At 43.7% G+C, this 27,892-nt stretch overlaps 1 protein-coding gene and 1 long non-coding RNA gene across 7 annotated transcripts in view; both read left to right on the forward strand.

Moving 5' to 3' along the window:
- LOC124903847 (uncharacterized) lies at nucleotides 1–27,830 on the forward strand. The gene is made up of 3 exons (XR_007065475.1): nucleotides 1–222; nucleotides 321–11,011; nucleotides 11,181–27,830. It is a non-coding gene; the product is annotated as an uncharacterized LOC124903847 (long non-coding RNA).
- KAZN (kazrin, periplakin interacting protein) overlaps nucleotides 1–27,892 on the forward strand; it is a 1,225,220-nt gene that overhangs the window by 390,690 nt on the left and 806,638 nt on the right. The window lies entirely within an intron of this gene.

Below are 27,892 nucleotides of genomic sequence, written 5' to 3' on the forward strand. Positions count from 1 at the left end.
GAAATGAAAATCAGCACCACAATGAGATACCACTTCACACTCACTAGGATGGTTATGATTTAAAAATTAGGTAATAGCAAGTGTTGAAGATGTGGAAAAATGGGAACCCTTATACGTTGCTGGTGGGAATGCAAAATGGTGCGACCCCTTTGGGAACAATCTGCCAGTCCCTTGAAAGGTTAAACACAAAGTCACCATATAGCCCAGAAATTCTACTCCTAGGTATGTACCCAAGAGAATTGAAGACCTATATCCATCATTAACATATACAGGTATGAAAACCTGTATAAAAATGTTTATAGCAGCATTTCTCATTATAGGCAACGAGTGGAAACAACCCAAAGTCCATCAACTGACAAGCAGGTAAATAAAATGTCAGCTTTCAATATAATGAAATAGTGTTTGACCATAAAAAGGAATGAGTACTGATACACCCTACAATGTGGATGAGCCTCGGAAACATTATGCTAAGTGAAATAACCCAGACACAAAAGACCATACATTATATGATTCCACTTATACAAAATGTCCAGAACCAGAAACCCATAGATAGAGAAAATAGATCAGTAACTGCCTAGGGTGGGGATGGGAGATCGGGGCTGGGGGGAGCAAAGAAAATGAGGGGGGAATGGGGAGTGATTTTTAATGCATAAGGGGTTTCTTTTGGAGTGATAAGAATGTTCTAGCATAATTGATTGTGGCTGCGCAATCTGTAAATATACTAAAAATATTGTATATTTTAAGCAGGTGAATTGTATGAGATTTGAATTATATCTCAATAAAGTTGTTATTACAGAGGAAAACGAAATGGAAGTGATGCATGAGCTGGTTGCTGAGGACTAAGTGGCAGTCAGCAAGGGAGAGGAAAGGAGCTTCCCAGGCAGCCGTAACAGCCTGTGCAAAGTCCCTGTGGCAGGAGAGAATGTGGTGAGCCCCGGGTTCCAAAAGGCAACTCGTGGGGCTGAAACCTAGAAAGGGATGGAGAGCAAGGAGTGAGAGGATGATGGACAGCAAATAGGGGAAAGATTCTGTTGGACTTTGCAGGCCAGAAAATGAGTGTTGTCTTTATTCTCAGAGTAAGGGAAACTGTTTGCAGGAAATGACTGTCAGATTTACTTTATGAAAAATTGGGCTTCACTGCAGCATGGAGAATGGATCAGACAGAAGGTAGAGTGGAAAGGAAAGGACCACTGGGAGACCATAGAGCAGCCCAGGTGACAGTGACAAATGTCATCAGGAGTTTAGGATCATCACACATACCTTGAGAAGTAAGTACGTCAGCAATTGTCATCTTCATTTGCTGCATTGAGAAACGAAGTGGCTTCATGTGAGGCTATTGGGCAAGTTAGTACCAGAGATGGGTCTCTCTGTTTTACTCTTACAAATCTTCCCTACAGCCCAAAACACTGGGTCTTTTCTCTGGGCTCTTGGCAAGTGCCAAGTTAGCATTTGTTTTGCCCCCTACTCTCCAGAGAACATGGACGTACTTTTCCTCCCCCTGGGTTGCTGAAAGTAAAAAATGCAACAACACTAAATACTCAAGCATGTGGTCTGGAGACACAGGTCTCCATCTAAATCCACCACTGATTACCTGTGACCTGAGGCCTAATCTCTCTCTGTCTCAAGTGCCCAGTCGGTAAAGTGTTGCATAGAGTAGTCCCAAGTTTAGAGGATTGTTGGGAGAATTTAGTAAAACCATCTCACTAACAGCTTAGAACAAAGCCTAGTGTATATAAACTACTCAATAAGTATTGGCCATTATTATCCTTTTCAGAATTATTATTACTTTGAACAAAGAGTAAACAGAGAACACTAGACATTCTCCTCACATCCCAGTCTCTGGAGGCTTTGGCAGTCTATTGGTTCCTCTCTGAGCAAAACTGTCTTCCTAACATCTGTGCACAATGGCCCAACATCTGGCCCTGAGAACTGGCCAAGACTGAGGCTCAGGAGCCTGGTGCTCTAGGGTGAGATAGCATGTGGATCCAATGTCCCTGACCTAGCACATGCAGTGTTTGTCTTCTTTGCAACAGTTGTGTATTTCCTGTGGAATTCGAAGGCTGTCTCTCAATGCCTACTCGCCACTTTATCCATACCCAAACATGGCATCAGCCTGGCTCCTTGGATGTGACCCACTCAGTTGCACAGGGCCCTGTGCTTGGAAAGCCCTTGCACTTTGTCCATTGCTCTGATCTCACCATTTGGAAATTCTTAATAGTTCTTGAGCCAAGGTGCCTTCATATTCCTTTTGCACTGGGCCCTGCAGATTATATAGCAAATCCTGCAATGTAGCCCCTTCTACTACAGCAAGTAAACGGCATGGTGGTGTGGGAGATCATCCAAGAGCTGACTTGGAGTCAGCAACGAGAGCCTGGTACTGGCTGTGGCCGTGGGCCTGTCTGTGGGCTTCTAAGCAATCACAGGAGATAGATGGTTAAGACTAAAGACGCCATATCAAGAATGCACAGGGGCTCAAGAACTACACCCTTGTTCCCTCTCTTACGCTGCTCAATGCTCTAGTTTCTCTTCAGGCTAAGTACAAGGACCATGTCTGTATTAGTTTGCTGGAATTGCCATTAAAAGTACCACACACTGCGTGGCTTGAACAACAGAAGTATGTCATCTCACAGTTCTGGAGGCTGGAAGTCCAAGATCAAGGCATTGGTAGGGTTGGTTTTTTCTGAAGACACTCTTTTTAGCTTGTAGATGGCTACATTCTCCCCGTGTCTACACACTTCTTCTGTGTGTTTCTGCATTCTTATCTCCTTGTCTTCCAAGGACACCAATCCTATCAGATCAGGACCCACCCTAGTGACCTCATGTTAAATTAATTAGCTCTTTAAAGACCTTATCTCCAAATACAGTTACATTCTGAGTTCCCCAGGGTCAGGACTTCAAGTGGCACTAAGGACAAGCCAGGCAAGAGGTCAGGCTCTGCAATCCCAGTTCTGAATTTTCACATCTGTAAACTGGAGGTACTTTCTAGGACTACTGTAAGGATTAGACCATCCATGTACAGCATTTAGTACAGTCACACTTAATAAATATTAGCCATTATTACACACTATCTACAACTCTCACCTCATACTGTTAATACCATTAATTCAGTCTTAGAATTATGTATAAATAATTCCTCTGCAGCTATGCAGCTTCCAGAAGAAAGCTCTAAGCCCACTTTGTAGACATACCCAGGTCCCCTAGATTAACATCCCCAGGTAGCCCAAATTCTTGATGTAACACAAAATTCACCTGACTTTCTTGGTGGGGTGCTTAGAACTATAACACTCATAACTTGAATTTTCTGTATGCTAGTCTTAATTTTTAGTCTTTAAATTTGTAGGCCTGTGGCTATTTTCATAATCTTGGCTGCACACATTTATGTAAACTGTGCTAATGAAATTCAACTACTTTATAGTGTGTGTGGGGAGAGGAGCCTATTTCTCCTAAGAAGCCATATATGAATTGAGGGAAAATTTAATTTGATGAGAGCAGTTGGAACTACAATTGAGTTTTGTATATGCTAATATTTTTATTAGTGCTTGTAAAACCAGCTAATGACTTGGAAAGTGAGTGAGATTTCATGCTCTCCAGGTGAGCCTATGATAATAGGAGCCACGGGTTAGGGAAATCCACTGACCTCCAGAACTTTTAGAGACATTTAGTTCCATTACCTTGACACCGTTTTACATTTTATGACAGATACTGTAGGCTGGTTCACCCAACATCCATTGCCTTTTCTGATTCCCTTCCCACTTGTCTTTCTCTGCACTCATCTATTTTCTCATTCTCCCTTGCACCTAGAGGTAATCATGTGACACTATTCTGACCAGTGAGGCCACAGCAGAAACCTGGGCATAATGCACCTAGGAATGGGTCCTTCACATCCCTTGTAAGTTGGATTCCTAGGTATTTTATTCTCTTTGTAGCAATTGTGAATGGGAGTTCACTCATGATTTGGCTCTCTGTTTGTCTGTTATTGGTGTATAGGAATGCTTGTGATTTTTGCACATTGATTTTGTATCCTGAGATTTTGCTGAAGTTGCTTATCAGCTTAAGGAGATTTTGGGCTGAGACAATGGGATTTTCTAAATATACAATCATGTCATTTGCAAACAGGGACAATTTGACTTCCTCCTCTCCTAATTGAATACCCTTTATTTCTTTCTCTTGCTGATTGCCCTGGCCAGAACTTCCAACACTATGTTGAATATGAGTGGTGAGAGAGGGCATCTCTGACTTGTGCCAGTTTTCAAAGGGAATGCTTCTAGCTTTTGCCCATTCAGTATGATATTGGCTGTGGGTTTGTCATAAATAGTTCTTCTTATTTTGAGATATGTTCCACAAAACTTAGTTTATTGAGAGTTTTCAGCATGAAGGGCTGTTGAATTTTGTTGAAGGCCTTTTGTGCATCTGTTGAGATAATCATGTGGTTTTTGTTGATGGTTGTGTTTATGTGATGGATTACATTTATTGATTTGCATATGTCGAACCAGCCTTGCATCCCAGGGATGAAGCCAACTTGATCATGGTGGATAAGCTTTTTGATGTGCTGCTGGATTCAGTTTGCCAGTGTTTTATTGAGGATTTTCACATCGATGTTCATCAGGGATATTGGTGTAAAATTCTCTTTTTTTGTTGTGTCTCTGCCAGGCTTTGATATCAGGATGATGCTGGCCTCATAAAATGAGTTAGGGAGGATTCCCTCTTTTTCTATTGATTGGAATAGTTTCAGAAGGAACGGTACCAGCTCCTCTTTGTATCTCTGGTAGAATTTGGCTGTGTATCCATCTGGTCCTGGACTTTTTTTGGTTGGTAGGCTATTAATTATTGCCTCAATTTCAGAGCCTGTTATTGGTCTATTCAGAGATTAAATTTCTCCTAGTTTAGTCTTGGGAGGGTGTATGTGTCCACGAATTTATCCATTTCTTCTAGACATTCTAGTTTATTTGCCTAGAGGTGTTTATAGTATTCTCTGATGGTAGTTTGTATTTCTGTGGGATCAGTGGTGATATCCCCTTTGTCATTTTTTGTTGCGTCTATTTGATTCTTCTCTCTTTTCTTCTTTATTAGTCTTGCTAGTGGTCTATCAATTTTGTTCATCTTTTCAAAAAACCAGCTCCTGGATACATTGATTATTTGAAGGGTTTTTTTGTGTCTCTCTATCTCCTTCAGTTCTGCTCTGATCTTCGTTATTTCTTGCCATCTGCTAGCTTTTGAATGTGTTTGCTCTTGCTTCTCTAGTTCTTTTAATTGTGATGTTAGGGTGTGCATTTTAGATCTTTCCTGCTTTCTCTTGTGGGCATTTAGTGCTATAAATTTCCCTCTACACACTGCTTTAAATGTGTCCCAGAGATTCTGGTGTGTTGTGTCTTTGTTCTCATTGGTTCCAAAGAACGTCTTTATTTCTGCCTTAATTTCGTTATGTACCCAGTAGTCATTCAGGAGCAGGTTGTTCAGTTTCCATGTACATGTGTGGTTTTCAGTGAGCTTCTTAATCCTGAGTTCTAATTTGATTGCACTGTGGTCTGTGAGACATTTTGTTGTGATTTCTGTTCTTTTACATTTGCTGAGGAGTGCTTTACTTCCAACTATGTGGTCAATTTTGGAATAAGTGTGATGTGATGCTGAGAAGAATGTACATTCTGTTGATTGGGGTGGAGAGTTCTGTAGATGTCTATTGGGTCTGCTTGGTGCAGAGCTGGGTTCAAGTCCTGGATATCCTTGTTAACCTTCTGTTGCATTGATCTGTCTAATATTGACAATGGGGTGTTAAAATCTCTCATTATTATTGTGTGGGAGTCTAAGTCTCTTTGTAGGTCTCTAAGGACTTGCTTTATGAATCTGGGTGCTCCTGTATTGGGTGCATATATATTTAGGATAGTTAGGTCTTCTTGTTGAATGGATCCCTTTACCTTTATGTAATGGCCTTCTTTGTCTCTTTTGATCTTTGTTGGTTTAATGTCTGTTTTATCAGAGACTAGGATTGTAACTCTGCCTTTTTTTTTTTACTTTCCATTTGCTTGGCAGATCTTCTTCTATCCCTTTATTTTGAGCCTATGTCTCTGCACATAAGATGGGTCTCCCGAATATAGCACACTGTTGGGTCTTGACTCTTTATCCAACTTGCCAGTCTGTGTCTTTTAATTGAGGCATTTAGCCCATTTACATTTAAGGTTAATATTGTTATGTGTGAGTTTGATCCTGTCATTATGATGTTAGCTGGTTATTTTGCCTGTTAGTTGATGTAGTTTCTTCATAGCATCGATGGTCTTTACACTTTGGCATGTTTTTGCAGTGGCTGGTACCAGTTGTTCCTTTCCATGTTTAGTGCTTCCTTCAGGAGCTCTTGTAAGGCAGGCCCGGTGGTGACAAAATCTCTCAGCGTTTGTTTGTAAAGCATTTTATTTCTCCTTCACTTATGAAGCTTAGTTTGGCTGGATATGAAATTCTGGATTGAAAATTCTTTTCTTTAAGAATGTTGAATATTGGCCCCCACTCTTTTCTGGCTTGTAGAGTTTCTGCTGAGAGATCTGCTGTTAGTCTGATGGGCTTCCCTTTGTGGGTAACCCGACCTTTCTCTCTGGCTGCCCTTAACATTTTTTCCTTGATTTCAACCTCGCTGAATCTGACAATTATGTGTCTTGTGGTTGCTCTTCTCGAGGAGTATCTTTGTGGTGTTCTCTGTATTTCCTGAATTTGAATGTTGGCCTACTTTGCTAGGTTGGGTATTATCTCCTGGATAATTTCCTGCAGAGTGTTTTCCAATTTGGTTCCATTCTCCCCGTCACTTTTAGGTACACCAATCAAACACAGATTTGTCTTTTCACATAGTCCCATATTTCTTGGAGGCTTTGTTCATTTCTTTTTATTCTTTTTTCTCTAAACTTCTCTTCCTGCTTTATTTCATTAATTTCATCTTCCATCACTGATACCCTTTCTCCCACTTGATCGAATTGGCTATTGAAGCTTGTGCGTGCCTCATGTAGTTCTTGTGCCATGATTTTCAGCTCCATCAGGTCATTTAAGGTCTTCTCTACACTGTTTGTTCTAGTTAGCCATTTATCTAATCTTTTTTCAAGGTTTTCAATTTCCTTGCGATGGGTTTGAACATCCTCCTTCAGCTTGGAGAAGTTTGTTATTACCGACCTTGTGAAGCCTACTTCTGTCAGCTTGTCAAAGTCATTCTCCGTCCAGCTTTGCTCCATTGCTGGCCAGGAGCTGAGATTCTTTGGAGGAGAAGAGGCACTCTGGGTTTTAAAATTTTCAGCTTTTCTGCTCTGGTTTCTCCCCATCTTTGTGGTTTTATCTACCTTTGGTCTTTGATGTTGGTGAACTACAGATTGGGTTTTGGTGTGGATGTCCTTTTTGTTGATATTGGTGCTATTCCTTTCTGTTTGTTAGTTTTCCTTCTAACAGTCAGGTCCCTCAGCTGCAGGTCTGTTGGAGTTTGCTGGAGGTCCACTCCAGACCCTGTTTGCCTGGGTATCACCAGCAGAGGCTGCAGAACAGCAAATATTGCTGCCTGATCCTTCCTCTGGAAGCTTCATCCCACAGGAGCACCTCCCTGTATGAGGTGTCAGTCGGCCCCTACTGGGAGATGCCTCCCTGTTAGGCTACATGGGGGTCAGGGACCCACTTGAGGAGGCAGACTGTCTGTTCTCAGAGCTCAAACACCATGCTGGGAGAACCACTGCTCTCTTCAGAGCTGTCAGACAGGGATGTTTAAGTCTGCAGAAGTTTCTGCTGCCTTTTGTTCAGCTATGCCCTGCCCCCAGAGGTGGAATCTACAGGAGCAATAGGCCTTGCTGAGCTCCCGTGGCCTCCATCCAGTTCGAGCTTCCCTGGCCGCTTTGTTTACCTACTCATGCCTCAGCATGGTGGACACCCCTCCCCCAGCCAGGTTGCCGCCTTGCAATTTGATCTCAGACTGCTGTGCTAGCAGTGAGCAAGGCTCCATAGGCGTGGGACCTGCCGAGCCAGGCATGGGACATAATCTCCTGGTGTGCCTTTTGCTAAGACCTTTAGAAAAGTGCAGTGTTTGGGTGGGAGTGTCTCAATTTTCTAGATACAGTCTGTCATGGCTTCTCTTGGCTAGGAAAGGGAAATCCCTTGACCCCTTGCACTTCCTGGGTAAGGTGATGCCCTGCCCTGTTTCAGCTCACCCTCCATGGGCTGCACCCACTGCCCAACCAGTCCCAAAGAGATGAACCAGGTACCTCAGTTGGAAATGCAGAAATCACCTGTCTTCTGCATAAATCACACTGGGAGCAGCAGACCAGAGCTGTTCCTATTTGGCCATCTTGGAACGAATCGATTGATCTAATGGTTTTATAAGGGGCTTTTCCCCCTGTGCTTGGCAGTTCTCTCTCCTGCTGCCATTTGGAGAAGGATGTGTTGCTTCTCCTTCTACCATGATTGTAAGTTTCCTGAGGCCTCCTCAGTCATGCAAAACTGTGAGTCAATTAAACCTCTTTTCTTTATAAATTACCCAGTCTCGGGTATTTCTTCATAGCAGCTTGAGGATGGACTAATACAGACCCCCTGTAATTTTTTTGCTTAAAGTCACACTTTCCGAGAACCTAGGGGCAACATTAAGTGATGACTTATAGTATGTTGTATGTATGCTCTGTGTATGTGTGTATGTCATATGTGCGTATAGTTTTGTCTGCTGACATTGCTCTGTGCTGTCATGTCACAGAAGCAATGAAAGTAAGCAATATGTGTGCTTCACCCTGCAGTTCACACATCTTTTGTCTTCTGATCAGCTCAGCTGTTTTCTGTTCTGGCAGTATTCAGGGTAGAGAACACAGAGAGGGAGAAATGAGATGCTGTGTGGTCCCCTGGAGGGGGGCCTCTGGAAAAATCGCCCAAATAGCAGAGGCCTCCTCTGCTTGGGGACCCTTCCAAGGCTTTGGTTCAGTAATCATGCAGGCTGGGAGGAGGGAGGAGGAGCTGCGAGATATAGGGATAGGCGGAGTCCTTGTGGTGGTAGATGGGGCTGGCAGGGATTGATCCATGTCCAGGGAGTGAAGGCAGGTGCAGTGCTGATGCGCCACCCCACTGCAGGCATCTGACTTGCCTGAAGCTGCCCCCATGGCCGGCTCTACCTCGCCTCATTGCAGAGGTGCAGAGACAAGGCCCAGCTGGCAGGCTCTGGGTGATAAATGTGCTCCCGCCTCCCCACCTTTCCTTTTTCATCTGCGTGTTGGTGCATGGAAGAGGGGGTGCATCATTTCTCATGTTGGCCGCAGGCTCACACATCTGATGGATGAGCTGGAGAGCGGCTTCCTTCTCAGTGCACCTGTTTCCTCCAACCCCCTGAAGCTGATACTGCAGCCTTAGCTTTTGCTCTTGTAAATGTGAAGATTCTTAGTAAAACTGCAGGCAGCTTAGCAAGGCCAGAGGAATACCACAGGCATGTACAGTTCAATATCATTAGGCAGACTTCACAGATCCTGGTCAGCACTGAGCATGCTGGTGAAGTGGGCGTGGAGAGGTGAAGACTGAACTAACATGCATGAGGACCAAGTGTGAGCCAGGCCCTGTGCAAACTGGTTGTCTTCTTTAAGCCTCATGAAAATGTGGCAGCCTCATTTCCATTTTGCAAACAAGGAAAGAGTCACAGACAATGTCATTTATTGGAGATCACACAACTACTAAGTGGAATAGCCAAAATTTTCTCCCAAATTTCTCCAGCCCCGAAGGGAACCAATATTTAGATTTTAAATATTCATGAAATTCCCCTTCAAACCTGAGATTCTATGTTCTAGGGCCACCATGAATGATGCAAATTACTAAAACTGTAAATGACATGTCCGCATCTGGCATTTTCCCTCAGCACGAACAGCTAAATCTTTAGTTTCTGTGCTTTCTTCCTCTTCTTCTTCCTCTGCCTCTTATTCATCATCTCTCCCTCCTTCTTCTTTAAGAAAATTCGCATTCTAATCAATCAAGTTTGAATCCCTTTCTGGCATTGCTGGTGTTGCCATGTCCCAACAGGATCACGACCCATTTGGAAGATACCGACATTGTGCCTTTCCTTCTTTGTGAGGTCACTCTGAGCCCCTGGTCTTGGTCCATTCTTTATACCAGTCTCTCCTGTCCCTCTTTCAATTTTCATGAGCATGTTAGATGTGTCCAGAAAACACCATAGGTGTACAGAAAAAAAAAAAAGATCCCAGATTAAACCATTGACTAGCCTTGTTGGGGTCTCCAAGCTCAAGGTTAATATCTTCTCTCAACCCCTGCAACAGCTGCTATTAGCAAGCCGTCTTTCTGAATACAGCATATAGCATCTAACTCCTCCATATACAGCCTCAGTTTCCCCAAGGTGGTTAGCCTTTGGGAAGGCTCTGAGGGGCTGAAGATAGCAAGTCCATTGTCCACCTCTGCTTTCCCAAGCAGAGACTCTCTTCCAACAGACCCATAAAATCACAATAGAAGTTAACCCCATGCATACTCACTCTGCCTGATAGGGCTCTCAGTGCATTACATGAACTAACTTTTCTCCTCTTCACCATAAACTGATAAGGGAGTTTCTTACCAGTTTTATCCCCATTTACAGATGAGATAACCAAAGCTCAGAGAGATGAGCGAACTTGGCCACGGTCACACAAGTAGTAAGTGGCACAGCCTGAAGAACCCGTGCATTCTGAGCCCAGGGCCAACTTCCCTAAGCATCATGCAAATTTGCCTTATGCCTTGTGTGTCACTGATGCATCTCCAAAACAGAAGCAACCACACCAGCAATTCCCTAGGCATCGCAAAGCTGTGCAATAGACCTGCTTTTCCCTACTCACCACACAAAGGTCCTTGGGTTTAGGGTTCTCCATCCAAGGAGTGGAGACCCACTTGCAGATATACTGCAGTCTCAAAAACACTAATCGCTTCTGTCATGGTTGGTACATGCCATATGCCAGGCATAGTGCTAAGCTCTGCAGATGAAGCCCATGGCATCCTTGCAAGCTACTGTTCTCCCATTTAACAGATGAGGCCACTGAGGATCAGAGAGGTTTTGTGACTTAACCAACATCAGACAGCTAGTAAGGAAAGACCTGAAATTCACACCAGTCTACCTGACTCTGTCTAAGAGATGGGGGTTCTTCTTTCCAGAAGTATAAAACCTGAGCCTGGGCAGTTTCCCTGGCAGGGTTTTTGCCAGGGAAACTGCCCAGGCTCAGGTTTTATACTTCTGGAAAATCAGGCCAAGTAGATTTTAATACCACCAATATAAAATGCCTAAAACCCCACGAATTCTATATATTTCACTCATGAGTGCTTTATGAAGCAACTATCTGTGAGAACAACTTTTCTTTACCAACTCTAGAGTGCCTAGGTCATAGAGAGCCCTCAGGAATCATAACTCCTTGGCCAAGCTCATTCAGATCTTTTTTTTTTTTTTCAGCAGCTATGGACACAGAGGTCCCCAGGGAGTATGGCTGTGTTTGATGTGATGGAATGAGAGGAAGCTCTGGAGTCAGACCCGTGCTTATCTACAGGCTCAATCACCTTCTTGCTGTGTGTCCTTAGGCAAACAGTTTAACCTCTCTGAGTTTGTTTCCTCATCCATCAAATGAGGTTAATGATATTTAACTCACAGGGTGGTTGAGAAGGTGGACAAATATGTATCAGATGGCTTTCCTTTGCTCTCAAGCCAATTCCCCCAACCCTTACTGTAACCACAAAGTCATGGCTATCAGGCCCTGATGACATTTCTGTCTCATCTCCAGCCATGTTTGCCTCTAGGCTCAAGCCACATGGCCTTCAGTAACTCTTATTCAATGACTCAAATGTCCAGTTGTCTTTCCTTCTCAAAGATCTTTGCATATTCTGCCTCTCCTTCCCATGAGCTGCCAGAAACATGGACCCTCCCAGCTTCTCCCTCTCATGCACACATATACATGAGACACAGACACAAAGAAAGACAAGGACACACACACCCAAAGAGACTCGGGACAAAAAACCACACATGCAGAAAGTGGGAGACTCAGAGATACGCACCAAAGAGTCACACAGAGGCATATACACACACAGACATGCAGAGAGACCCAGGAAAAGACACACACTTATAGACACACAAACCCATGTGCACCAAAGAGCCACACAGAGACATAAAAACACATAGGCATGCAGAGAGACCTAGGGAAAGACACACAAACCCATGCACACACACACATGCGCAGATACACCAATACCTAGTTAATTCCCAAACATTTTTGAGATCTCAGCTCACTTTCTCAGGGATTCCTTCCTGACATCAGATTTCTTGGCTATGCAATTGCAGAGAACCCCATTTCTTTCCTTCATGTTGCTTATTTTGGTTTGCAGTTATACACTCCTTAGCTAGATCACGGGGTACTGTCTGCCTCTTCTGGAGTTCAACAGATACTCCATGCATAGGAACTACATTGGCATCACCCAGCGCACTGTGGATTGCCCAGTTTGGAATTCTGACCTCACTACTTTCTGTCTGTGTGACCTGGGGCAAGTTCACCTCTCTGTGCCTCAGTTTTCCATAAAATCATAGTACCTACCTCATAGGGTTGCCATAAGGATTAAATGACTTTGTATAGGGACAGCACTGAAAGTAGTGCCAAGCTTAGAGGACATACCATGTGAGTGTAAGCTATCATTATTGAATGAATGAATGTCTAGCATAAAGAAGACACAATAAATGGTAGCTGCTACTACTGTTATTACTACCATCACTGCATGTGGGTCAACTTTTCAGGCAAATGCTGCAGTGGTGGGTTAGGGCCTTTTCTTGCTGTTACAGACGTGACAATGTAATTATTTCAGCTCCTCCGTAGAAAGGCCCCAGTGGGTAAGAGATTAGGCTTCTGCATCAGCCTGTCTGGGCCTAAACCCCACGTCTACACTTTCTAGCCTTGTGGCAAGTGACTTAATCTCTGCCAGCCTCAGTACATTTCTCATGGGCCTGTTACTGCCCACACTGTGACGAGCTCAGTTCCTGCCTGGTGCCTACCTCAAGGTCCACATTCAGGGAGCATGAGCCCTTATTATTGTTCATGACCATGGGCTGTGAGCCTTATTCTGACCACATATTTGAAAACTACACTACTTTTGGCATAATGTAGGGCTGAGTTTTTGTATTTCTTTTTTTTTTTTTTTTTTTTTTTTGAGACAAAATCTTGCTCTGTCACCCAGGCTGTAGTACAGTGGCATGATCGCAGCTTACTGCAACCTCTGCCTCCTGGGTTTAAGCAATTCTCCTGCCTCAGCCTCCCAAGTAGCTGGGACTACAGGCACACGCCATCATGCCTAGCTACTTTTTTGTATTTTTAGTAGAGACGGGATTTCACCATGTTGGCCAGGATGGTCTCAGTCTCCTGATCCACCCACCTCGGCTTCCCAAAGTGCTGGGATTACAGGCATGTGGCATTTCATTCTTAAAAGGTGAGTCATGTTATCGTTATGCACAAAGAACAGCACAGTTCTCTGTGTATATTTGTGTGCATATGTGCATGTGTGTGTGTGTGACATGTCATGATGCTTTGGGATTATCCAGAGGCCAAGGCCCTCTGGCTGAGTCATGTATCAATTAGCAATGCATTCAGCTGCAAGGAACAGAAAACCTGGGCTTACATAGAGGGGCTTATTTTCTCCCCCACAAGAAGCCAGAGGTGGGCAGTTGCCAGCTGTGGTCAGTGGCACATCCTTGTCAGGGCCTGTGTCCCTGAAGTTCTCTGAATCTTCTCCCAAATCATTGCCTTGGTTAAAAGATAAGTGCCGTGTTTTTATGCCATATACCATGTTTATTGCAAGCCAGAAAAACAGCAAAAGGGAGGCATGAATGGGTCCATCCTGTCTTATCAGAAAAGCAAAAACTGATTTTCGTTAGTCTCATTGGCCAGAACTGTATCACTTGGTCACTCCCTGGCTCTAAGCAAGACTTGGGACACTCACCTTTTTATTTTGCAGCCTCTGCGGTAGAGACAGGCAAAGGAGAAGAGGGCTGAGAGTGATTTGGGAGAGCCAGCTGCAGGGCTCCTGGGCTCAGATCAGCTCCCTCCCCCACACCTGCCCCCTGCAAGATCCTTTACATTTTCCCTGCTGGGACTCTGCTGACGGATGGATGGGCACTGTTCTCTCCACCATCCACCCTAGGGGATGCAGTTGTCAGTGTGTCACTGCCCCCTCCCCAATGCTACCTACAACCCCATCTCCTCTTTCTCACTCTTACTCATTAGAAAGCAAGCATTAGAGGAACAGCCTTGAATTTGCTTAAAGTTACATTAAATTTGGGCAAATTATAATGTAAGCCCTGAACAAACTTAAGACCTTATGATGAGTAAGAAATTATTTGTGATGCCTCCCTGGGTTGGGACATCAAGAGTAGGAGTTGCTGCCCTGGATGGCAGATTCAAATGGCCAACACATGGTGGAAACCAATAGAAAATTGGTTAAATTGAAGCTGGGCGCGGTATCACGCCTCTAATCCCAGCACTTTGGGAGGCCGAGGCAGGCAGATTGTTGAGCTCAGGAGTTAGAGACCAGCCTGGGTAACATGGCAAAACCCCATCTCTACAAAAAATACAAAAATTAGCCGGGTGTGGTGGCGCATGTCTGTAGTCCCAACTACTTGGGGGGCTGAGGCCAGAGGATTGCTTGAACCCAGGAGGTCGAGGCTGCAGTGAGCCATGTTCATGCTACTGCACTCCAGACTAGGTAGCAGATTCAGACCCGGTGTCTTAAAAAAGTAAATTGGTTAAACTGGCTCTGTCTTAAAGGAGGCCATTTTAAATGGGCTTCCCTCTAAATCATCCAAAAATCAGCCCAAATATTACAGCCCTTGTCATTCATGAAATCACCCCTGTGTTCCTCCTTGTCTTCTTTCATGATGAAACTCAAGATGGCTTGTGTATAAAAACTCATTAGACTGTTGATGGAGAAAGAAGATATTCATTTGACTTATGTTGAACACAATGCAGTTCTTTTCCTTTATGAGTTTAGATTTGTAAACCATTTCTCCTACCTCCCCCCATGCAAGTGTACGATTTTAATGTTCTTTTGATATATATCTCTGCATGTTCTCCATTTCTCTTAGTTTTCATTTAATTACTTCAGGTATTATTTTTAGTTTGCAGACTAAAAGTTTGGAAAGGAATGAAAGTACACCTGGCACATGAAGCCAGTGTTATTAGCTTGCTGTTATTTCTCTGTATATAACTCGAAATCTTTGGAAATGTGGGGGAGAGAGTCAATTTCCCCTTTATTAAACTTGAATGGCAGTTCTCAGCCATGGTAGGAAGTGCCAGACATAGAATGGGTTACTAATAGAGTATACAAATGATTTATTCTTTTCCTTTTAACAAACTGGAGTGAATTCAACATTTTCCCTACCTACACTACACTCTCACTGGCACTCCAGCTTGCTTTACCTAGAGGAAGTGCAGGCGTGGTAGTCTGGCCTGTGAGCAGGACAATGAGCATACGTAAACATGTGTTGCCTGTGCCGTTAGGAGGTGGCAGGTGGCGTGGCTATTGTTAATGCAACCAGAATAGTTCAGTGGTTACAGAGTATCTACCCATTCAACAGCTGTTTATTGAGCTACTACTGTGTGCCAAGCACCATCCTCAGTTCTGGGATACAGCAGGGAAAACACAAACATGATTCCTACTCTCATGGAATTTACAACCTGGTGGGGGAAACAGATAAGAAACGAAACAAATAAAGAAAATCATTAGGCCAAGTGTGGTGGTTCATGCCTGTAATCCCAGCCCTTTGGGAGGCCGAGGTGTGTGGATCACCTGAGCTCAGGAGTTCAAGACCAACTTGGCCAACATACTGAAACCCTGTCTCTACTAAAAATACAAAAATTAGCCAGGCGTGTTGGCATGCACCTGTAATCGCATCTACCTGGGAGGCTGAGGCAGGAGAATTGTTTGAACCCAGGAGGCAGAGGTTGCAGTGAGCCGAGATCACACCACTGCACTCCAGACTGGGCGACAGAGCAAGCAAGACTGTCTCAAAAAAAGAAAAGAAAAGAAAAGAATTAGACTGTGATAAAGCACTGCATTTAATCAGTCATTGCTGGAATAATGCTGTATACGAACCATTCTAAAAGCCCAGGAGCTTGCAACAGCAGATGTCGCACCCATAGTTCTGCTGGGCTCCACTGGGCTACAGATCACACTCACTCTGTACCTCCCATCCTCCTTAGCTGGCGGCACCTAGGTAATGTTCTTCTCAAGGAGATTAGCAGGAGTTCAAGAAGGCAGACCCAGTCATCTGAACACATTTAAAGCTTCTGCTCACATCACATTTACTAAAGTTCATTAGCCAAAGCAAGTCGCATGGCCAAGCCCAAAGTCAGCAGAACAGGGAGTGTACAGGGAAAGGAGAGAAAATACTCACCCAACAAAAATCACCTCTATCATGAGCATTAAGGCAATTACAGTGGTGGGTGGGGAGGCTTTGTTATATAACATGGTTAGTTGGGAAAGGCCTTTTGTGGGGGTAGGAGGGGGAATATTGGAGCTGACAAGAAACCAGTCCTGACTAGAGGAGAATGGTGTACTTGGAAGAGAGTCTCACAAACGCAAAGGTGCTGTGGCAGGAAAGTGTTTGGGGTCATCCTGGAAATGTAGCACATATGTTTGGAGTGTGTTGAGGAAGGAGGAGAGCAGGATATGGGAAGCACCCTAGGACAGGATCCTGCAGGGACTCGGAGCCTCGTTAGCATTTGGGGCTTTATTCCAAGTTTAATGGGCAGCTATGGAAGAATTTATTTATTTTTTTTTAAGACAGAGTCTTACATAATTACGGCTCACTGCAGCCTTGACCTCCTGGGCTCAAGTGATCCTCCCACATCAGCCTCCCAAGGAACTGGGACCACAGGTGCTCACTACCATGCCCTGCTAATTGTTGAATTTTCTGTAGAGATGAGGTCTCCCTATGTTGCCCAGCCAGGCTGGTCTCAAACTCTTGGGCTCAAGGGATCCTCCTGCCTCAGCCTCCCAAAGTACTGAGATTACAGGCATGAGCCACTGTGCTCAGCCGGATTTTAGGCAGTAGAGCAACATGATCTGAAACATACTTTCAAAAGGTCCCTCTAGCTGCACAGAGGAAAATCAATCAAAAGCGTGCAAAAATGGAAACAGACAGGTTAGGAAGCACACTGCACATGAGACACAATGGCCTGACTGAGATAGTGGCCATGTTAACAGAGAAAGGCAGACAGGTTAGGTTTATATGCAGGTGGCTCAGTCACCAGATCTGGCAACACTTTTTCCGAGGAACCAAAAGGGATTTCTCCCCTACAAATCAGTTTGGCGTATCATCAGACTCTGAGTGCATCCCTAGGACGTATCCTACCTGTGAACACCATCTGTCCTGTGAACCAAGGGGTAGGTATAGGGTAGAGTCATTGTGGAACTTGGGTGTGGAGGTGTGTCCCCTGCTAGAGACCTAGCCTGAATTCTGCAAGCTTGTGGCTCTCAGAGTCTTGGGAAAGAAACCACATTTATACCTATGTCAGACTCAGCCTTGGCAAGGATTGGTGAAATCCACATGTTGGAACAATGAAGCCTGAACCAAGAGATTCCACAGAAATGTCTTGTATGGAAAACTCAGCCTCATGGCCCAGTGAACCTAGGGAGTTACACACCCAGACCATAGGGAATTCACAAAGCTGGGCTTAGCATTCTACCCAGGAGGTTGACAGCAGCCAAGAAGACACTCCTTGGAATTCACATACCCGGTTGCATTTGCTCTATCTGATGACAATGGCATCTGCGAGTCAGACACGGTAGAGGAGAGTTTGATCCTGACTGTTCTCTGGCCCAAAGGCCCTGTACAAGTGTGGCTCTCCCTTCTTCAAACCTGCGGATTCCTTCCTCTAACTCCCCAGTCCCATCGGCTGGGGAAAATCATCTACAGGTTTGCATGATGGGATTGACTTTGGCTGCTCTCAAAGGCAAGCCACCGGGGTAGTGTAGACACACCCCTTCTGAATGTACCCCAGCCTGCCACTACAGGGATCTGTCTGATCTTGTGATTCATGTGAGGCGCTGGCACCCGCCTTCCTCTTTGACAAGGCGGCTCTGCCTGTTGGGAAATTTGGCTTGAGGCTTCACAAGCCTGTCAGCAGATGAGGGAAGACATATGCCAGCAGCAGGAAGCATGCATTAAACACAGAAAACTCTTCTGATCATGACTGCCCCAGCCTGTTCTATATAGAAGACATTTGGCAGGCATTCACGGGAGGCAGGTCCTAGCTGTGGAGGATTTGTCAAGTGCAAGGTACTCCTTCCTTTCCCTACTGGCCCATTCTCATCTTCCAGGTCTTGGGCTCAAAAGTCACCTCCTCCGAGAGGCCTTCCTTGACTACTCTACCAAAGGCAGGACCCCTGCATCGCTTCCTTCCTATCACATCACCTTGTTTTCCCTTTGTAGCATCTGTAATCATTTTAGTTACTTTTATACTTATTTAATATCTACCGCTCCCAATTGGACTCTAAGGTCTAACTGAGGTTTTCCTCTTCACTATTTCCACCTACCTAGTGCAAGATCTGGCACTTGGATACATGATGGGTACCTGGATAAATGTGTGGAAAAAATGGAAGATGCATAGGGAAAAACAAGGACCAATTTTTATTGATAATATCTTTCTCTATTTCCGAACTGACAGCTTCCTCTGAAACCTTTCCAACTAAATGCTATGGTTGTAATGAATGACAAGTTTGGGAGCTGCAGTCCCTTGAGTCATAGCAAAGAGTTGGAGAGAACAGACAGATCTATAATGAAGTTGTCACTTTTTCTCAAATCAACGCAGAACATAATGTGGAAGCAGGTATAGCCTCTCCCATCTTGCACCAAAGGACGTGAAGAAGTGAGCCCAAGTGAACAGGCAAGTAGGTGTCTCAAGTGGGGGTTTCTGAATATTTCCTCAGAAGACAATACACATGGAATCTCAAAGATGAGTCGAGATATGTGTCAATAACACTGAAACAGACATGTATCCTGCCCAGAGGTTGAGTGGATGAAATTGTCTAACATTCAGGAAACTCTAAGAATAAAGGTTAGATTCCAGGTGTAACAAGAATGTGTTAGCTGATCATTTTTGTTGGACTCCATGAAATTACATGGCAAATGGTGTGTACAAGTGTCCATATACAATGATCTAGGAAGAGGGATCAGAGGTTTTATCATATTTTCAAAACAGTCTATGATCTCCAAAAAAGGCAAAAGACAGCTACTCATAGGTGCTTTTATGGGGAAGGTCATATAGGTCATAAATCTATAGAAACCAAAGGTAAAATTGTATCTTACTTCTTGATCACCACGAGCCACCTCTCCCCTTGCCTTGTTTTGTTTAAGGTTGAGCGACGTGAGTTGTAAGAAGGATGGTTTGATGGGGTTCAGTGTTAGCCTGGAACTGGTTGGGGTTACCTGGGTGGAGGCTGCAGCAAGGTGGGAACAAGATTGAATGTGATATTAGCTCACTGCATTTTTGTTATGTCTTTGCCTGTGTGTCCTGGCTTTTCACATCCCATCTTGCTTTAGCTCTTGAAGGTACATTTTTCTTCAAGTTCTAGACTCAACCTTCTTAGGACCCTATCCCTGCTTGGTGCTTTTAATGATTAAACAAAGAAGCCAAGAGGAAGTAGACGTCGGTGTTTCACAAAGTGTGGTCTATGGACTAGCTGTGTCAAAATCATCTGGCTCGCTTGTTAGAAATGCAGATCTCTGAGCCCAAGCCTTGACCCATGAAATCAGAGTCTACAAAGGTGTGTCTCACTCTGTTGCCCAGGATGGAGTGCCGTGGTGAGATCTTGGCTCACTGCAACCTCCACCTCCCAGGTTCAAGTGATTCTCATGCCTCACCCTCCTGAGTAGCTGGGACTAGATGTGCCTGCCACCACACCCGGCTAATTTTTTTGTATTTTTAGAAGAGACTGGGTTTCACCGTGTTAACCAGGACAGTCTCAATCTCCTGACCTCGGATCTGCCCACCTCAGCCTCCCAAAGTGCTGGGATTACAGGCGTGAGCCACTGCGCCCAGACGGGAATCTGCACTTTTAAGAGGCTGTCTAGGTCATCATTCTGATACACAACAAAGTATGAACCCTGACCCTCATATGTCCTCCAGGCTCTCAAATGTCCTCCAAGTTGGTCCCAGAATGAACAAGGCTCATCTTTGCTTACATCATTCTCCCTTCCCATTTATGCCTATCCAAACTCTGTCCATCCTTCAAGATTACCTTATCTCTCATGGCATATAAGAAGTCTTTTTTAGGCATCTCCAGCTTTCATTTGCTTTCTTTTTTATGAATCCAACATCCACAAGTCTTGCATTATTCTCTTTTCCATTTATCTGACTCTGGTCTCTTCAATGCAAATATAAGCAATAAACTCCTCAAATCCTCATTCTCTCCAGTGCGTCATTTATCTCAAGAGACAAGGAGAATGTTCAATAAACAACCCTTCCTCCAGAGTATACCCGACTCTCAAAATGTTAGCGAGCTTGTTTTAGACTCTGCTAAATAGCTCTTACCTTACCAACTTCAAGTATTGATGGTGGGGCTGTCTTGCCATTTGGAAATCACAGCTTCCTCCTAATATTTCTGTTTTCCCAAGGCTTCCCTTCCTCTGGGCATTTCCTTTTGGAGTGGTAGAAAATGGGCCCAGAAGAATTTGAATGACATTCTTCAGTTCAGAATTCATGCAAAGAGCTGTCTGGCTGCAGTAGTTTGCAAAGTGCTCAAAGAGTTTCACCTACCGATGTTCAACTTTCATCCAACATCTCCAAAGGACACTTTTCTTTGAGATTCAAAAACTTAAAGGGAAGGGTTTTAAGCTCAGCATATTCCTAAGGACCTGGTCAGGACCTTGAGAAAAGGACTTACCCCAGCTTAGACCAAAATATTCACAGGATGGCTCTGCATCTCTGTGTGCTGTTCAGCCTCTATTTCCATCCCACGAGGTCTGACTATCTTCACTAAGCTTCAATGAGCAACTGGAATTTTGGAAGCTTGCTAAAATCACATTCCGTTCTGAGGAAGTTTGGTCTATTTCTTGGCCTTATGTCAAACATTGCTATTTTTCTTTCAGAAGTCATCCATAAACACATGGACAATGAATTCATTTCAATGCATTTCCAATGATCCAGCAGGCTTCTGAAACCGGTGAGCTTCAAATGCATTCCCAGGGGTACATCTGAGTTTCGTATAACCACTCGAAATCTCTTTTCTAGTACATGTGGCATTACCACACCACAGTCTTAAGGCATGACATAATTTACTTTTGCATTTTCCGTTCATTCTTGAACAGTTCACCGAGCTCCTGGAACTCATAACAGAGATGTCAGCTGTGGATGTTGATGAAGCCCTAGGACTGTGTCGTCTTTCATCAGAACATTCTTTTAGAAGCCTTAAGAAGCATGATTGCTCTGCAGCCAAAGCTAGTTTTTTTTTTTTTTTAATTTTAAATAAGAAGATAGATCTATGGGCCTTTGAGAAAAGGATTCTCATTTTAAAAAATTAATAATACAACTTGTCTCCTCTGCTTTTCCACATACTCACACATCCCTAAATTTTAGAAAGGATATGTCTGCTGCATTTTCATTCCTCTGCATCAGCTACGGTTTTGTAACCTGGGTTGAATTCAGCATTCCTAGCTAGAAAATAGTCAGCTGAGGAAAAGACTGCCATCGTCTCTCCCACCTTGTCCAACTCAGTTAAACCCATGTCGAAAGCAGAATCTGCTTTCACTGTTGGAGGAATAAAATGCAAGCCATGATATCAACCCTACAGAAGCAGATTATATCTTGGAATTTAAGGATATTTTAGAGGGCCTGACAACTTCCTAAAATTGAATTCAAACATTTGAACATGTATACACTTGCATTTTTAGGGAGTGAAGATCCCTAGTTCTCACCAGATTTGCAAAGAGGTCTGTGACCCCAGAAAAGGTTGGAAAAAAAACAAGCAAATACGATCCTGCAGTCAAGATCAAACATGCCCATTTGCTGAACCAAAATACAGGATGCATCAGCTGTCAAGACAATATTAATTCTGAAGACAGGGAAAGGAAAGATCTGAACTCAAGATTACCCCAGTTAATCTAGGGCATATGGCTATCTGAATTCTGGGGAATGACATAAGGGAAGTCTGCTCTCCCTTTTTTTTTTGTTTTCTTTTTTTTTAATTCATGACACTTTCACTGATCATTTGGATGGCAGGGTATCGCTAAGAACCAGGATTATAAAGATGAACAGGCCTCAGGTCTGTTTTTAACAGGCTTATAATCTATGGTAAGAGGCAAGGCATTTAATCTCCTTTGCTTCTACGATTATGGCTCACATATGTTTGCTCTGCTCTAAGAAAAATGCATCAGAAGCACCTTAGGTTTGGCAGGTAGGGGCTCTGATGTTAACAGGATTGGGTAGAGAAGCTCTTGATGCTTCTGGAAACCCCATGAGAGTTTAGAAAACACGAACCTTGTCCTTCCCTCTGGAAAGCACTCTCATCTTTCCTGTCTGATCACTGAGCCTCCTCCCCAGTCCAGGGAGGAAACAATTTTTGTTGGAAGACATTAAATTGCTTGGCTGGCTGTTGTGGCCCTGGGTGAGATGAAGGCAGACATCGTTAATGGAATGTGTTGTCGCATTTTTTGGTGGATTGTTTTGAAAAGTATTTCACTGGAGAACATTAGCACAGCTTGGGCAAAAGTGCTTTGTGAAAAAATTAAATCCCCATATTTCTCTATCTCTTTCTGCAATTGCTCCCCTGATGTGCTCTCTGAAAGGGTATTTGGTAAAGGCCAATGTATTGGGGTTGACTCTGAAGGTCCGTGGACCACGCATGAGCTCAAATGCAATTGGCCATTGCTTTGTGATCCTTACCACTCAGGGCCAATGTGACAGACTCACAGCCTCTCCAACAGGCCACTTAGAAACTATGGAGAGGGATGATTCAGTAGAAAGGACATGAACTCAGGGTGGAGTGGGCTTTCTCTCCCTTTGCTCTTTCCTGATTCTAACCTATCTGGGCCTGGACAGTCATAAGACTCTGCTATGAAAAACTACCCAGTCCTTGCTGTGAAAGTCAGCAGTGCTGGGCTACTTCTTGAAAGGCAATACCTTCTGCTCTACCATGATGTGAACCAGGCCCCAACCCCTGACCACAGGTGACAGGACATAGCCCAGGGTGTTCAGAATAATGAGCAGCCAATCGCAGACCATGAGGTGATGGGTGAGCTGGTGGGATTAGCTCTGCCCAGACAGGGCCTAGAAGTTGCCAAATTTAGCTCCAAACCAGCAGCATCTCAAAGTTCCTGGGCTCTACCTACAGAGACGCCTTCACAATCAAAGTTCATTCTTTAAAAGACAAGATAAGATTTGTTCTTCAGGCATTTGGCTCCTATCAGAGGCTTAGGTGTGAAAAATAACAAAATTTGATCTTCGTGTCCCCAATCTTTCCATTTTATTTGATGTCATGAGTGACGTCCAATTCTACCAGTGGTTCCCATTCATTTGTTCTCTGGGATCTGCTAATCTCATTTACATTCAGTCAACCCCTAAAGCACCCAGCAGAAAGCAGAGTACACAGAGGGGGATTTCATAAAGTGATGTTGACCCTTCGTGGTCCCACAAGTTCATATGCCACTGCCTCCTCGTGAAGTCCTGCCTGATCACCTGTTGAAATGAATCACTTCTTTCCCACACCTGACACCCTCTGCACCTGTCTAAGATAACAGTCCACTCTGCCTTGGGCATGACTTATTCACCCATGTGCTTCCCCACCATTTTTCACACCCTCCCAGTGGCATCCTAGACACTCAAGAACTGGCATGAACTTATTGGCTAATTATAAAGTCGTTTCAGCCCTGATGTTTTGGGTTGCTTCTCCCTTTCATGATAATCACACAGCTATGGTGGACACTTCTATGGTCCAGACACTGTCTACATTAGGTCATGTCTACACCTATGCTACAACTCTGTGGAAGGAGATACTATCATTGTCCTCCTTTACAGACGTGGAAACTGAAACTCAAAGAGGTTAAGGGACTTCCTCCAAGACCATTATCTATGCTAGTACCAGAACTTGAACTCTAGCCTATGTAACCCCAAAGACAGTGCTGTTGATCTTTGTGGGACACTTCTGTTTATAGCTGCCCAAGACAGAGTCTCCATCTGAGCAATGCTTCTCACCTTTGAGTTGGAAAACAAGCCCTCATATACAAAGAGGCAGTAACGCGTAGTGGGTCGCAACCACAGGATGCTGAAAGTAGGGAGTGAATGTTTGATGAGAAATAGAGTGGATACAGAGTTCCACTCCCTACAAATCATTTATTAACTACAAATGAAGAAATAGTAACTTTGCATCGAAGCAAACTGCCAAATACAATCTTGACCAAATGATCAAAGCCAACATCATCAATATTGGGACAACAGAACATCTCATGTCTCCTACTGTGATGCGCTGAGGATACAACATCATTCTGGTCTTCCTGCCAAAAATGTGTAACTTGAACACAATCATGAGAAAACATTAAGAACATGTCACAGAAAACTGGCCTGTGTTCTTTAAAAATTATCAAGTTCAGGAAACACAAAGAAAGACAAAGGAATTGCTCCAGATTAAAAGAGACTAAAGGCTCTGGATTAAAGACAATTAATTGCAATGTGTACTTTCAGGTTGCATCCTGAACCAGGGGAAAAAAAATAGCTATATAGAACATTATTAGGACAATTGATGAAATTTGAATATGGACTGTGAGTTAGATAGTATTGTTATGAAAATGTTAAATTTTCTGATTTTTGATAACTATTGAGATTATATAGGAGAATATATTAGGAAATGCATACTGCAATATTTAGGGTTATGTGGGCACAAGGTCTCCAACTTAATTGGGTCAGGAAAACAAAATATGCATATCTATGTAAAATATATGCAAAGAATAATACAGCAAAGTAAAAACAGGTGGATCTGGGTAAAAGTTATATAGAAGTTTCATGAACAATTCTTGTATTTTTTCTGGAATTTCAGTTATATCAAAATTAAAAATTGCAAAATGTTATAGAGTAGCAGTTGCAAGTGTAGGTACTGAAATTGTACTGCCTGGTGTAAATCCTGGATCTGCCAAGTACTGGCTGTGTGACCTTGGGCAACATACCCAACCTCTCTGTGCCTGTTTCCTTGCCTGCAAAATGGAGATGATAGAGTACCTACCTCTTAGCATTTTCTGAGACCTGAATGAACTAATACGCATAGACTAGAACCTCGTGCCTCATAAGCATTCAGTCATCAGTATGGGTGAAGGTCAGTGGTTACCAATTTCTTTGATATTTTCCTGTTTGCCTGTTGTGTATGATTTCCTGGTCTGTCAGATTATTTCCAGGGTGCAGCTCTAAAGACGAGCAAATTGTTATTAGATTTGGAAGCCAGTTCATCAAATACATGCAGTCCTCAAAGGGCACGAATGTGTTTAACAAGAATTAATGAAAAATTGGCAGCCTGATATTTTTGGCCCAGTCAAAATGTGTGGAGTCTCATTGCTAATTAAGCCTCCTCATTTTTCCTAGAGCAATGCCACCTGTAGGTTTGCCTGATTTGGGCATTTATTTTTCCAAATGGCAGCTGCCTGAAAGTTTCAGGAATCTCAGAACAATAACTGGAATTTAGGCTAGAAGAAGAAATGGGATATCCCAAAATTGCAACAGGATAAGCAACCCTTTTAAAAAAAATTGATGGTTAGATTTTTGTCAGATGCCACCCATTTATCTAAAACTTCAATTTTAAGTCAGAGAATTATCAATTAATAAAAATTGATTTATATTTACTAGGTATAAGGCACCACACAGGATGCTGTTGGGGAATTGTAGGTAAATGAGATATGGATATTTTTTCAGTTACTACAGCAGAGGACCTCAGTGTCCAGCGTGAAGTGACCAGAGACAGAGTGGAATGGGAGGAGGTCACAGCAGTGGCCAGGACCAGATTACAGGGGCCTTGGAGGCCACAGGGAGGAATTTGGATTTGATTCTAATGCTACAGGAATCCACTGAAGATGGCATTAATTGATTTTTTTGTTTTCAGTTGAGACCAGGTCTCACTCTGTGGCCCAGGTGGAGTGCAGTGGTGTGATCACAGCTCACTGTGGCCTCCACCTCCCAGGCTCAGGTAATCCTCCTGCATCAGCCTCCTAAGTAGCAGGGACCACAGGCACACACCACTAGGCTCATGCCCAGTTAACTTTCTTAAAAAAAATTGTGTAGAGATGGGGTTTTTCTATGTTCCCCAGGCTGGTATTGAACTCCTGGGCTCAAAGGATCCTCCCACCTTGGCCTCCCAAAGTGCTAGATTACAGGCATGAACGACTGCACCTGGCCTGATTTATATTAAAAAAAAAAAATTCTGCAGGGACACAAGTCAAGTTCAAAGCAGGAAGACCAGAGAGAAAGCAGCTGTTGTTCTTTAGGCAAGAGCTGGTGTTACTAGACAAGGGATGAAGCAGCAGGAAGAGATAATAATATTTTGGAGGTACAGCTATCAGGACTTGCCAATGGCATTGGATGGGGTTGGAGCAACGGGCGGCAAGGGAAAGGCAGGAGTCAGGGATGACTCCTAGTTTTGAAAGAAAGGTTGGCTTTGAACACATGGCAGTGGGAAGAAGGATATTACAGGCAATGTGTGAGCAGAAACATGAGGTGAGAAAATGGAGCCCATGTCCAGGGAAGTAGGAGTCACTGGAATCTTTCTGGAGAATGAGGTGCAAAAAAGGAAGGTGTGGAAGATACGGTTGGAGCCAGAATGGAAAGTGCCAGACCAAAGAAAATGCATTTCTTTCCACAGGCAGTATGGAGCCACCAGAGGATTCTAAACAGATTAGAAAACTCCCAGCAGGCCTCGGATGGTTAAAACGAGTCCACCACCTTCCTAATGACCCATTCTTGTACTCAATGACTTAAAGAGTATTTTGCATCTAGCATAAATCTCTCTATTGGTTCCGTGGAAAACACACACGCCCACGCATTGCCTACCTCACTGATTTTTAAAATGGTCTCAATTCCCTTTGAAGGCTGCTGGTGGGCCGACGTATGTACCAGACTATTGGCAATTTCACACATTCAAATTGCAATCTCCAACTTCTGCAAATAAAAGATCTTTATGTTCCCCAGTTGTGAAGTTTACTCGCAATTTCTATGCAGAGCGTTTCGTCTGTGCTTGCATTCAGAGGCTCTGCGAACACATCTGCTCACTGCCACATTTAAGAATTCCCAGGAAAAAGAAGGTTTTGTTATGAAAGGCCTGGCAGCCCCATCTCTTTCCAAAGGATGCATCACAAATGCTGTGTTGGAGTGAAATTGTCACAACAGAGATACCCAATCTTGGCAGTGAAGCCAACTATTTTGAGAAGTCCAGCACCAAAGGAAGCCCACAACAATGAACTATGTTGGTTTGGACATGAGGGGCGGTGTTTTAGAAGTTCCACTGGAGATCCATCAGAGTTGTTGTCCTGTCGATGAGATGACCTGTTTGGAGCTTCTGTGAATCATTCTGTCACTCAGTAAATATTTGAGGTGAATATGAAAGCCTTTGGTAACTGTGGAGAGAAATTCAAGAGGAGATGCTGCTGTCATCCTTGATTGAGTTGCAGGTCCAGCCTTCTCTGCTGGACCACAGGAAGAAGAGAAAAGGAATATCATGGAGGGTTAAGAGCAAGCAAGATTTTGCATTCAGATAGATCTGGATCTGAGTCTAGCCCTTACCACTTATTAGCTATGAGATATTGAACCTGACCTCTTTATGTCTTGGCTTCCTTACCTGCACAATGGCATAATAAAAATTACTTTGTGGAGTCATTGGGATCATTCAATGAGAGGATGATATAAAGCTTTATCTTACAATAAGTTCCCAATAAGAT

The sequence above is a fragment of the Homo sapiens genome, chromosome 1 (assembly GCF_000001405.40).
Source record: "Homo sapiens chromosome 1, GRCh38.p14 Primary Assembly".
NCBI classification, from domain to species: Eukaryota; Metazoa; Chordata; class Mammalia; order Primates; family Hominidae; genus Homo; species Homo sapiens.